This window comes from Homo sapiens, chromosome 4 (assembly GCF_000001405.40).
Source record: "Homo sapiens chromosome 4, GRCh38.p14 Primary Assembly".
Classification (NCBI taxonomy): Eukaryota; Metazoa; Chordata; class Mammalia; order Primates; family Hominidae; genus Homo; species Homo sapiens.
Window position 1 is genome coordinate 46,391,823 of NC_000004.12, and position 13,901 is coordinate 46,405,723.

At 38.4% G+C, this 13,901-nt stretch overlaps 1 annotated feature.

Moving 5' to 3' along the window:
- Window positions 13,190-13,484: an enhancer, noted in NCBI's record as "tiled region #442; K562 Activating non-DNase unmatched - State 24:Quies, and HepG2 Activating non-DNase unmatched - State 24:Quies". NCBI's record gives its function as "activates a minimal TATA promoter and a strong SV40 promoter by Sharpr-MPRA in K562 cells, with weak activation in HepG2 cells {active_cell/tissue: HepG2 | K562}" and the evidence as "EXISTENCE:reporter gene assay evidence [ECO:0000049][PMID:27701403]".

Consider the following 13,901-nt stretch of genomic DNA (forward strand, 5'->3'; position numbering starts at 1 on the left):
CTTCATTAAAATCTCTATCACCTCTCCATTTATATTACTAATAAATTGTTGATATTTTGATAATGGAAGTTAAGCAGTGTATGGTTTCTTCCCAGCCTTAATTGCTATGCTCCAACAAAATTTTTCTTTAATGAATGTCACAATTTTTGTAAATATATTCATATATTATTCTAATACTTATAAGGTCTTCTCCTGGATTCTAATATCAAATTATAAATGTTTTAATTTTTTTCGTTCAACATTTATATCAATTGGAATTGTTTGTTCTGAGGAATTAGCTTTTCCCATTAGCACCCTTATTAAATATGTAATTTCAATGACATATGACCCTCTTATATGACACTTCACAAAGTTCAAGCTGCTTTGAATGTTTTTCACCATTTTGGTTTTTTTTCTGTAAGTGTATGTTACTACATCCCACCGATTTAGAGATGCATTTACTGGAGAATGACCCACAGTAAAAACTAAATTTAAAAGTTTTCATTATAAAACCTTGATTTTTAGTTCTCACAAAATGTTTTACAATTTTAAATGTTGGATAGCTGTAACTTAAACTTCAAAGCACATTAAAGGAAATGGAACTAGAAAAGCTGATTGTGGGCAGCAGATTTCTGGTGTTTAGCCATATCTATACTGCTATTTTGTTGTATTACTAGCCCAGACAAATTTCTCTGGAAATTTGGAGGATTATCCAGCTTCCTCAAACAGCTGACAAACTCAGCCAGATTTTCTTCTCTGCTCTTTGTGATAGAGTGCAGGTTAACTGCCTGAGATCTGAGCCAGCCTGTGTGGGTCGTGACTAAGCTCTTCCTACCCACTCCTTTCAGAGCATGTCCTAAGGCAACCAATCCTGAGGAAGAATTGACAACTAATTGGTTGCCAGTAAATCCATTCCCATCCAGGCTTGGGCAGCACAAAACCTTCTGTTTCAAACCTCTTTGAATTACTGATCAACAAATTAGGTTGGTGGGTGGAGGTGGTCACTTCTTACATATTCCCCAACCCCAACGCTGAAATCCTTAAGGAAATTTCCACATAAAGACCATGAATAAAAGAAAGCTGAAGAATTGGGAGATCTTGGTTTTGTCTGATTTCTTATTAGCTGACATCTCACAATATTGTACAATTTTAAGATTTGTTATAAAAACTGTTCATGTTCTTGAACAGATATTTTGTACAGCTTCCATTTTTAGAGCTCAGCCTAGCATTACTGCTATAGAGAGCTACTACTTTATATGCCCTAGGGGACTTCATTAATCTTTAAGCTTTCTATAGAGTGATATGTGTATAGAAGTATATATATTACATATGTATATATATAATACACCTATATTTATTGTACACTTATATGCATACATACATATATACAAATATGCTAATATATCTGTAGATAAATATATATCAGAACTAATAAAAATAGACAAGAATATTTTAATAAGAATAGCATTTAAATACCACAATTCTACAAAATACATTTAATCTTACTACTACATGAATTGGATCATGATGATCTTTACATGCTTTAAAGAGCAATATCATAATTACTTCAACAAGAATAGCATCTCACTATATTTAACTTTTTAAACTCTCAGCACATATTTCATATAATAAATTTGTGTATACTTTAACTACATACATTCCTATGTGATTCATTCATTTGAATGAGAATACAAATTTATGAAAAATTAGGAACGGAAGCACAGATTATTCTGTTTTCAAACAATTTAATATTATCTTCTACTTTTTCCCATTGAACTAGTTAACTAATTTCAAAGTGGACCTGGAGTATATGTCAGTTCTCACATATTCACCACATTACTGAAAGACAAAATGAGACAAAACCGGTGCAAATTCTTAGCTGACAATTATCAATTCAAAACCAGGACTTGGTCAAGCTCTATTTTTCCCATATGTTGCATTTAGATGGAGGGTTAGGCCCCAAGGTTCTGAGAGAAGAAACAGCTGTAAAGTGGAAGTAACTAGTTTCACAAACAAATAATTCCGAAACTACTCTCTTACATTCACGGATCTAGGTCACATTTCATTAGAGCTAAATATATCATGTGTATTAGCTTGGATAAACTATGCACATTACCTTCTTCAAATAGAATTAGTAACTTTCTGTTTACCAAGTAATTTTACAAATTCTCATCCAACTTGCAAATTGAATATATCAAGCATTCAGGATATCCTGGTGGTTTCTGAGATTTTTAAAACAATTTACAACAAGACACACATAAGAATTATTTGTAAGAAAATTATTTTACCTTCCTTTCTTGAAATTATAGGTATAATTTATTTTTAGGTTAATCAATTCCTTTCTAAAACAAAGATAAAACTCTGGTAATTCAAACCAAAAATTTCCTCACTGAAAACTATGCTTGTTAATGAAGTATAAGCGGCTACATGATCAGCAGCTTTACCTGTGAGACATGTCCTTTAAATGATATTCATAGTAATGACAAGAATAAAAGGAAACCTGTAATGTCTTCATTGGTATAACAGCTTAGATTCCATTCTCAGTGTTTTGTATTAACTCATTTAATCTTCAAAAGTAAGAAGTTATTATTATTTCCATTTCACTGATAAGAAGGTTTAGACACAGAAATATTAAGCCGACTCAAGGTCTCACAGTGCTGGCAAAAGGAGTAGAGCCCTGGCAACATGGCTCCAGAGTTTCCGTAACTACTATACTATTTGTAATAACACCTTATCATGCGCAATTATTCAGACAAAGGCAACAACAATAACAACAAAATCAGAAAACATAGCGAGTCCAGGACCTAATTTGAACCCATTTATAAACACCTCAGGTGGGATAAGATTGGTCCAACTGAAGGATTATTCCAATATCATTATTTATAGCATCAAAACACTTGCATCTTAAGAGGAACAGAGGGTATATATAGTGAAGAAATAAACGAAAAATATAATCAGGCTATGGGCATTTTATGGTCAATCAGTGCGACATGAAAGAGAAAATAGAAACCAATTATTTCTAAGAAAAAGTGAATAATGCTATGGCAAATTAATTATGGATATCAAATGATTTTAAATATAGATCATTTCTCTTTGGTAGAGACTTTTTGTATTTGAGAGAGTGGCTTGCTCATAGATGCTCAATAAATAATTGCTGATCTTCGTAAAGTTAAGCACTTTGGAATACAAATTGGGAGCCTTGGTTCCAGAGCCTGACCTTGGGCAGTCTTAGCTATGACATATTCTGTTACCTCTTAGAGCTCTATCTCTGTCCATCACTGACTATCAGTGCTTAGATACCTTTTTTCCTCTACCTTTTCACCTTTCCCCTATGGAAATCCTGAACACTGGGAGATATTCATTCTAGACTCTTTCTCAACCACCCACCAGTACCATACACATACACACACACACACACACACACACACACACACACACACACAATTACTATCGCTGAGAAAGTACCTCCTATCTATCCATCATCTGAACCATTCTATTCATTACCAATTCCATAGCCTTATCTCTATCCTCACTTGGAATACTGCAATACTAATAAATAGTGGCCTACTAATTAGTTTCTCTGCCTCTGATCTTCGTTTTCTCCAATCTATCTTCCATTGAAACAACAAAAATGTTTCTAAAACTAATTTTGATAGTGTCACTCAGCCATCTAAAATGTTTTCTTGAGAACAGTATAAGGTGCAAACTCTTTTGCATATCACATCTGACTTCAAATTATAGCTTATACCTCCAGTCTCAACTCTGCTTTCTCTGCACACTCCTTGTTACACACATGCACACACATGCATGCACATACACACACATGCACACACATCCATAGCCAGCATTCATTTTTCAAGCATCATTCTTTCCTCTATGCTTCCTGCAAACATAACTTTTTGCATTTCTCTCAAGAGCCAGTGGTTTCATGTCTCTATGCTTTTGTTTCTCACTGTCTTCCCCTACTGGAATGCCACGTTCACCCTATCTACCTGATGAACACTCCAAGTTTCAGCCATGTAAACTACTTCTTCTTCCAGATAAAATTATCATGCCTTACTTTTTACTCCTGTTGAACTTAGCACAGGCATTTAACATTAAACCTAGAATATTCAACTGAACTTATTTATTAACTTTTCTATCACACTGTCTTAGTCATTTGGGGCTGCTATAACAAAATACCATAAAATGCGTAGCTTTTAAACAACATAATTTTACTTTGTACAGTTCTGAAAGTCAAGAACTCCAAGATCCAGGCACTGCAAGATTCAGTGTCATAGATGGTGCCCCTTGCCATGTCTTCACATAGTAGAAAGGGGGAGGTAGCTCTCTGGAGTCTCTTCTATAAGAACACCAATCTCATTAATTAGGACTCTGCTCTCAGGACCTAAGTATCTCCCAAAAGGCCTCACCTCCTAATGCCACAGGGATTGGGATTTCAACACGCGAATTTTGGGAGAACACAACATTCAGATCATAGCACTCACCCTATTGAACAGTGAGCTATTTAAAGGCAGAAGGAGACTCATCTAAGCTATCTTTACCTTCTACATGCATAGGCAGAATCAAGCATATATCATCTTTCAGGAAATTCTTGAGGACATGAGCATCTGTACCTTCATATGTGATATAGTTTGGATATTTGTCCCCTTTAAATCTCATGTTAAAATTTGATCCTCCGTATTGGAAGTGGGGTTTAGTGGGAGGTATTTGGGTTATGGGGGCAGGTCCTTCATGAAGGTCTTTGTGCCCTCCCCCAGTAATGAATGAGTTCTTCTTCTATTAGCTCCCTTGAGATCTGATTGTTACAAGAGCTTGGCACTGCCTTCTCTCTCTCTTTCTTTCTTCATCTTTCCATGTGATGCCTTCTTTCCAATGCCTTCTGCCATGAGTGGAAGCAGCCTGAAGCCCTCACCAGAGGTAGATGCTGGTCCTGTACAGTGCCAGAAGAACCATAGGCCAAATAAACTTATTTTCTTATAAATTATCCAGGTTCATGTATTTATTTATAGCAATGCAAAATGAACTAAAACAATATGTATATGGGAATCATAATCCTTCCTTCAGAGGAATGAGATGTTACAGAGAGTTGAGGTTAAGAGCTCAGACTCTGGTTCTAAATCCGAATCCTGCTGCTTATTCACTATACAACCTTTGACAAATTCCTTAGCCTTACCTTGTCTTAGTTTTCTTACCTGAAGAATAAAAGTATTTGTAGAACCTACTATTTTTGGTCATCACAAGTATTTTATGAGTTGATATATGTGCACAGAACAACACATGGATCATAGACAACACTACACAGTGTTTGCTGGTGTTACTGAAGTATTTGAAAGCTGTTAGATCACTGCCTCCACATTCAGTTGATGAGATTTAGTTGCATGCACAGCACTTGAGTTTGTTGATTCTTTTGGCTCTTACCTTTTCCCATGAGTGTGAATATGTTCCCATCCACTCTTTCCCACCCACATTCAAGCTCCCACATTCACAGAATGACCTGTCAGAGCCCAGCACATATACCTACATTCTCTTACTTTGCATTAGATTATTTTTTCTCATGAATACATTGTTTCCCTCATTCCCTCATTTTTTTTCTGGTCTTTTTTTTTCTCCTGTCCTCCTTTTAGTATCCTATGCCCTCCTTTTTATTCCAGCTCGGCCTGTTTCCATCTTTCGTTAGTTCTCTAATGTCCCCTTTTCCTCCCTCTTTCTCATTAGCATTCCTACATAGCATACATCTGCATTTGTGTATGCACTTGTCTTTTGGCATATGGGAAAATGTGTGTTTATAAGAGTGCATACAGATAAGAAGACAGTGTCTATTTAAGCAGATGGGAATGTGAGTGCTTATGCTGCACATGGATGGGCATCCCTGCCTGTGTTTCTGGGTAAAGGCCTCTGTATAAGCAATACTATTAAATCCACTCAAATGCATGGTATTGATCCATTATATTAATTGAATTGAAAAGTCAAGAGGGGCTTTATTTTTTAAATTGGCTTGATCTGCCTGAATTTTTTTTAAAAAGTCACATGTTTAAATGAAGCCCAAATCTGTAACACCTAGAGAGCTAAATTCATTTGTCAACGTGAAGGCGTCCAGCTGCCCCTCCTACCCATGCCCTAGAGTGAAATATGGTTAAAAGTTGCTCTTCCTTTTTCTGTGATTTCTGGGTATCCAGCATGTATTCAGTTGGAAAAGAGAAACATGAAAATTTTCTGCATTATGAATTAAGAGTTAACAAATTATCCTTAAAATAGGATAACAAACAATTAAGATAACAAACTATTCCAAAATATTTTGGTGGGGAGGGAGACATTTTTATAGAGGCTAATGATGGTGCTCTCCAGCATTATTGCTCTCCAGCAAATATTGCCAGTTTCCAGCATAGATGTAAGAACAGATCAAATTTTCTCACTTTCCTTGAAATTAGAGTTGCTAATGAAAATTGCTCTGACCAATGATAGGGAAGCTAAACAGACTTAGGCCATTTCCAGATGGAAACTGGACGAATAAGTGTCTGATTCACCATGTTTACTCCTTCTCTGTTACCTGGGTATGACCAGTGATGCTCCAAATAGTGCTGGTTGCTCAGTGGGTCCTTGAATGAGGATGACAAAGTTCGGAACTCTTAACTGACTGGCACTGAACTTATAGCATGGACGAGAAATACATATTTGCTGCTTTAAGCCTCTAAAATTTGGAGTAGTATCTACTACAGAATAACTTGATCTCTCCTTACAGCTGAAATATGAGGAGAAAAGCAAAGTTTTTTTGTCTTGTTTTAATACCAAATATTGATTGATGAAGTGGTATATAAAATCTTTTCTGGCAAAGAAGATTTTTTAAAAGATCCAAAAATCACAGCCCATAAATACTTGCTTGCCTAAGCCTAAACCAAATTATTTCATGGGTCTTTGGTTGTATTTATGTTTTTTTCCCATTTCTTAACTGTTTTTATCTTTATTTCTCCTCCACCTAAACACCCAGAGGGGTTGAGAAAAAGTCTGAGATTGTTCTTGAAAAACATTTCTTCTAAATTTCCGTTTCATTCTTCCTTATAGTGGCACAGACATTGGGTAGGTGGATGATATTCATTGAGTTCCAACAGGAACTCTGATTATCAAATCATCTGACAGGTATTAGAAATGGGATAGAAAATGATTTAAAAAGAAGGGATAAGGAAAAGAGGACTGATGTGACAGCAACTGTTAGATGTTAAAGTGAAAGAGAGACGATTAAAAAAAAAAAACTGCTTCTGAGTAGAAATGCATGTAGGAAGATATCTCCATGTTTTCACTACATAAAGAAAAACAAAAGAAATCGGCTCTGACCTAAAAATACAATGAGAACTTTGAGGCCTTTTTCAGAGATTTTTGACAAGGTAGAAAAGGCCAGTTAGTTACAGGTTTTAATATGAACTATTTCGTTGTCATTGCACAATTCACTGGAGCAAAAATTTATGGGTTTAAACTGCTTTTAGCTAGTCAATCAACATCAAACCATTGAGACAATTTAGCATTCAAATTGTGAAAAGAAAAATGTACTTGTCTTTAATAAGCCCTTGAGGGAACAGAAACTATTTCTCTCTCCTTATATTCCTCACAGTGCTTTCCAGATAGTAAGTGCTCAATAAACATTAATAGAAAGTACAATAGACAAGTGAATAAACATGAGTAAATTAACAAATGAATGAAAGACTGTGCCAAAAAGTTCTTAAAGGTCGTTTATAGTAGCTCACCTGTTCTCACCTTCTCCATTTTGACCCTCTCTAGCCTGGCCTCAATGCAGTAGGCTGTGTGATCTTGTCGCAATACAGAGCTGATCGTGTCACTGCATAACTTAAAATTCTTCAAATACTTTCCATTTCTCCTAAGTTCAAGACTAGATTCCTTACATGGTTGATGTCTTGTATGCCTTGGCTCCTATCTGGTGTGGAATCATTATTTTCCTTGCTCCAAGAACACCAGCCTTCTTTCAGTACTTGAAATATGCCAGGCTCCCTAATGGCATTTCTTTTCCTGCCATGGGGCATCATAGCACATGTTTCCTCTGATGGAAGCCTCCTACCTCCTTTACCTGATTTGCATCTATTCATTCCTCTTAGAAGAAATTAGGAAGCACTTCCTTAAGCCTTCCCTGACATAGTAACCCCACCACCAGTCTCTGTTATGTTCCCTTGTTAAATGTGCTTTTTTTTTAAAAGATATCTTGTCTCAGTTTTTTAATTGTTGTGTGTGATTATTTTATTAACATCTGTTAACCAACAGTGCTATATATTCCATGAGTTCAGGTGTCCTGCTTATTTTTATTTAACATTGTATATCCTTGAATTGGTGCATTGCCTGATTCCTTGTAAGCATGCAATAAATCATTGTTGAAAAAAATTAAAGAACAAATAAATGTATAACAAGCTCAAAATGTGATGTATAATGTTACTTTCAAAGATAACATTTCCTATGCCTAAAATTAAATCTATAGTCCAATTATTTGGACTGTTGCTATTGTCATAAAGAGCCTATGGGGAACTAGGAGCTGAAGATAACGTCACTGCCTCTCTACACTTATGAGAAATGAGACGAGGACACATTTTGTGTTGGTAAAAAAGTGGGAGAGAAATTCAATCAAGGTAGGCCAGCAAAAGGAACAAAAGGAAATGATGTATTTGGTTCACAATAAGGAAGTTTTTTTTTGTTTTTTGTTTTTTTTTTTTGAGACCAAGTCTTGCTCTGTCTCCCAGACTGGAGTGCAATGTTGCAATCTTGGCTCACTGAAAACTGCGCCTCCCAGGTTCAAGCAATTGTCTGCCTCAGCCTCCCGAGTAGCTGAGATTATAGGCACCTGCCACCACGCCTGGATAATTTTTGTATTTTTAGTAAAGACAGGATTTCACCATCTTGGCCAGGCTGGTCTTGAACTCCTGACCTCGTAATCCACCCACTCAGCCTCCCAAAGTGATGGGATTGCAAGCATGAGCCATTCAATGTAGGTGGTAATGATAGAGGCCAGTGGGCTATTAGCTTCAAAGGATAAAACTTCAAGTAGGTTATTGCCAGTGTTCAGGAACTGACATCCATCAAATCTTGCCTTAGTATCTCTGCCTAAAATAGAATGATCTATTATTATTTAGCTATAATATAGGACTAAAGTCTGATGGATAAAGAAGAACACTGACATTAGAAAATCATAGACTGAAATGTTTTAAGGGACTTTGCCATCGAAACCAATCCTGCCATCTATTTCTACCTAGGGCTATGTCTGAGCCATAAAGGTGACTAACTTTAAGAAACCATTGAATTTACAAGTCATCTAGGAGCTCACTGAGGAACCCTCTCAAACACTCTACCACCACCACCAGCTGGTTTGTTTATGATATTTCCTGGTGCAATTAACTGTAGACATTTTAGTATAAGTAGTAGACATATGTGTATAGGCAATTTAAATTTAACTAACATCTTATGGTGGGGTTAATTAACCTAAGAAAATTTTCAGTATAAATCAACCTGTTTTAGGCTTATTAATTAGCATAAGACCTATAATAATCTTTTGGCGATAATAGTAATGGGATTTGAAGCTAAGAAGACTTTAAGAGGACCCAAACTCCTTGCATGAATAAGGTCTACAAAGAGCAAGCTCAGCAATGCCCAGAGTGCTGCAAGCCAACCCTAGAGACTTTGACCTGGAGACATCTTGCCACTGGATCCAATTACAAGGCCAGCAGATCTTGCCATCAGACTCTCTTATGTAACACTCAGAGCGAATATTTCATGGAAGATGCTGGTCTATGGAACTAAGGGCAAATGAATGAAATTTTCCCAAGCTAAGAAGTTCCATGACTATACTGCTTGTTAATAAGTGCATTCTGCTTGGAAGATTTTCATCTGAGATCTGCTTTCATTGTGAGTTAACATCCATCTAGTTAGGAGATTGTAGGATAGAGACTACCTCTAATCAGTGGTGGTTACTCATGTTTACCAGAAGAGCCTGACATTCACTAAAGGAACAAATTGGTTTTGCATAGTTGGGTGATCTAGAACAGTTCACAGGATCTGTAGAGTTTGAAAATGAGAGAACAAGGAATGAGCAGCTGGTATTTAAGAAAGTGTTGCTAGGGCTTTAGAGTTGTGATAGGACTAAAGGTATCAATAGTGACAAAAGTTGGCTGAAGCTAGTACATAAAGGAAAGGTGCACTCACACCTGAACCTAAGATTTTCAATTTAGACAAGGCCTCGCTTGGAAAATAAAACTTATGTCACAGGAAGAAAGGGCATGAAGCAGAAAAGGTGTTTTATTTCTAGAACATTTGTAGGTAATATGGAAAGAAACTCTTGAGCCTGGTTGTTGGTAGGCTCAGAGCTTGGCTCTGACCCAAGTCAGAGCCAGAGATATTTTAAGTTTTAGCATCTTTCCCCAAAGAAAGCTCACCATGGTGAAACCGCCCCCATAAAGTTTACAAGAATTACATGCTGGATTCTGGGCAGAAAAAAATAGTTATAATTAAGCATTAATCAGGATGCACTTTGGTTGAGTCAGATGGGGCTGACTTTACGTGTCTGTGCTGAATCCAAGGTCTAATCCCCATGAGTTTTATGGAGAAGTGAGTTTCCAGCAAGACTTCATGTGATCTGTTCTACTGAGGCTTTACCTAGTTGTCAGGATGCTGGCTTTCCAGGTCTTCAATAACATCCAGTCTCCAGGCTGACTAGGGTGAAAGGGCACATTTGTAGGAAACAGCAATCTGCTAGAAGCAAATTTATGAATGGCAGGAGAATCAGGCCTAAGGATTGCACATACCTGACAGTGTCTCACTCTTTTTTGTGTATATTATTGGGGTCCTTTATTCCAAGGGTGGAGCATGGGAAGGGCATCCCATATAGCATTTCAAAAGGACTAAATTTGATCCTGATTTTAAGAGCCACTCTTACTCTGAGCAGGGAAATAGGCAAAGCCTTATTCCAGGTCAAGTTGGTTTCCTGACAAATCTTAACTAAAGCCTTTTCTCAGGACATGATTCATTTTTTCACTCTTCTTTGTGGGTCCTCCAGGCTGTGTGGAATTTCCATGTTATGCCAAGGACTTGAGAGACATCCTTAGTGACTTTAGCCACAAAGGTGGCACCATTGTCACTCTGATTAGAAATGGGCAAGCCAAACTGAGGGATGATTGTTTTTAAAGCAGAGCCTTAGCAACTTCAGATATCTTCTCTGCTCTGCAATAGAATGCCTCAATCTATCCTTAAAAAGAATCTACAAACATGAGCAGATATTTAAAGTTTCCTGCCACCCTCAGCATCATGGTGAAGTCAATCTACCAGCCCCAAGTTGGCCCTTCACTCCGTGCCTGGACTCCTTGTATCATGGGTGGAGGGCCAGTTTTTGGGTTACTCCAGACCCAGGAGAGACACTTCTGTATGACCATTTGAAAAATCTTATGCATACATGGGTGAACAATATATCTCTGACTCCAATGGAGAAGGGCATCCCACCTATACTGAGTGGTTCCCTGAGTATGTCCAACAATGCCATCCATGAGGCATTCAGATACTAGGAATATCCCCTCTTGGTTATGTATCCATCCATCCTGTGTTTTTCAACTGGGGTCAAAACCCCAATCGAGTGCTCTTTTAGATCCTCCTCTGAGTATGTAGGTAGTTCAAGGTCAAGGATTATTCCAGGTGTTAATGGTGTTAGTAAAGTTTGGGGGATCTTTTCTCTTGCTGCGGTCTTTGCAGCCTTATCTGATTATTGCTTTTTGCCACCAAACTGTCTGTCTGTTGATGCCCAACGCAATGAACTACAGCCACTTCTTTGGAGCCCATGACTGCCTCTAGCAGAGCTAAAATCTCTTTAGCATGTTTAATTTCTTTGTTGCCAGCAGTTAAAAACCCTCTTTTTTTTTCCCAAATAATCCCATGAGTATGGATAACAGAAAAGGCATACCTGGAATCTCTGTAGATAGTCATTTTTGAGTCTTCACGTAGTTGGAGGATGTGGGTGAGGGTAATGAGTTTTGCTTTCTGTGCTAATGTTCTGGGGGAAGTGCCTCAGCTTCCAAAACTTGCTGGTGTATCACCACAGCATACTCAACCTTTTTTTTCCTTCCTGGTCCATAAAGCCACTTCCATCAGTGAACATCTCTAGATCTGGATCTTCCAATTGTATGTCAATCAAACCTAGCCAGCTAGAATTAACTTGTTGGATAATTTGTAAGCAGTCATGCATAGGTTTAGATGCTATCTGAGGAAGCAAGGTGGCAGGATTTTAAGTAATATCAGCTCTCAACATCACATTTAGGTTATTAAGGAGGATGGCATAATATTGTCATAGGCTTCTAGAAATCAACCAATAGCTTCCTTTTTGTTCCAGTAAAGGAAGTACATAGTGGGGTGTGTGCACTGTAGTTGGCTGGGCCAGAGTAAACTTTTCTGCTTCCTAAAGAAAATCACAGGTGGCAGCAATAACCCTAAGGCAAGATGACTATCCTTTTGTGACAGTGCCCAATTGTTTTGAGAAGTATGGACCTGGCCTCTTGATGTTCCCTAAATATTGGGTTATCATTCCTAAATCCGTTCCTTGTCTTTCATGCAAAAATAGGTCAAAGGGCTTTCTTATACTGGGGAGTCCTAATACAAGACCTGTTATCAACTTTTCTTTAATGGTCAAAAAAGCCTTTTGGCAATCCCCAGTCCATTCTAACAGTTTGTTATATTCCATATATATATATATACACACACACATATATATATATTTTAATTTTGGGGGGTACATAGTAGGTGTATATTTTTATGGGGTATGACAGATATTTCGATACAGGCATTCAATGTGAAATAAGCACATCTTGGAGTTTGCGTTACCTTATCTCCCCTTTAAAACATCATGTGGTCGCTTCCAAGATAGCTGAATAGGAACAGCTCCGGTCTGCAGCTCCCAGCAAGAACGACGAAGAAGACGGGTGATTTCTTCATTTCCAACTAAGGTACATGGTTCATCTCACTGGAACTGGTTGGACAGTGGATGCAGCCCACGGAGGGTGAGCTGAACCAGGGCAGGGCATCACCTCACCCAGGATGTGCAAGGGGTCAGGGGATTTCCCTTCCCTATCCAAGGGAAGCCATGACAGACTGTACTTGGAGAAATGGTACACTCCTGACCAAATACTGTGCTTTCCCCATGGTCTTAGCAATCAGCAGACCAGGAGATACCCTCCCAGCCTGGCTCAGCAGGTCCCACACCCACAGAGCCTTGCTCACTGCTAGCACAGCAGTCTGAGATCAACCTGTAACACTGCAGCTTGACGGGGGTAGGGCAATCTGCCTTTGCTGAGGCTTGAGTAGCTCAAAGTGTAAACAAAGCAGCCAGGAAGCTGGAACTGGGCGGAGCCCACTGCAGCTCATCAAGGCCTACTGCCTCCCCAGATTCCAACTCTGGGGGCAGGGCATAGCAGAACAGAAGGCAGCAGACAGCTTCTGCAGACTTAAACATCCCTGTCTGGCAGCTCTGAAGAGATCCGTGGTTCTCTCAGCATGGTGTTCGAGCTCTGAGAACAGACAGACTGCGTCCTCAAGCAGGTCTCTGACCCCCCCATGTAGCCTGACTGGGAGACATCTCCCAGTAGGAGCTGACAGAAACCTCAAACAGGTGGGTGCCCCTCTGGGATGAAGCTTCCAGAGGAAGGATCAGGCAGCAATATTTGCTGTTCTGCAGGCTGTGCTGGCGATACCCAAGCAAACAGTGTCTGGAGTGGACCTCCAGCAAACTCCACCAGACCTGCAGCTGAGAGGCCTGACTGTTAGAAGGAAAACTAATAAACAGAAAGGAATAGCATCAACATCAACAAAAAGGTCATCCACATCAAAACCCCATCTGTAGTTCATCAAAATCTAAGACCAAAGGTAGATAAAACCACAAAGATGGGGAGAAACCA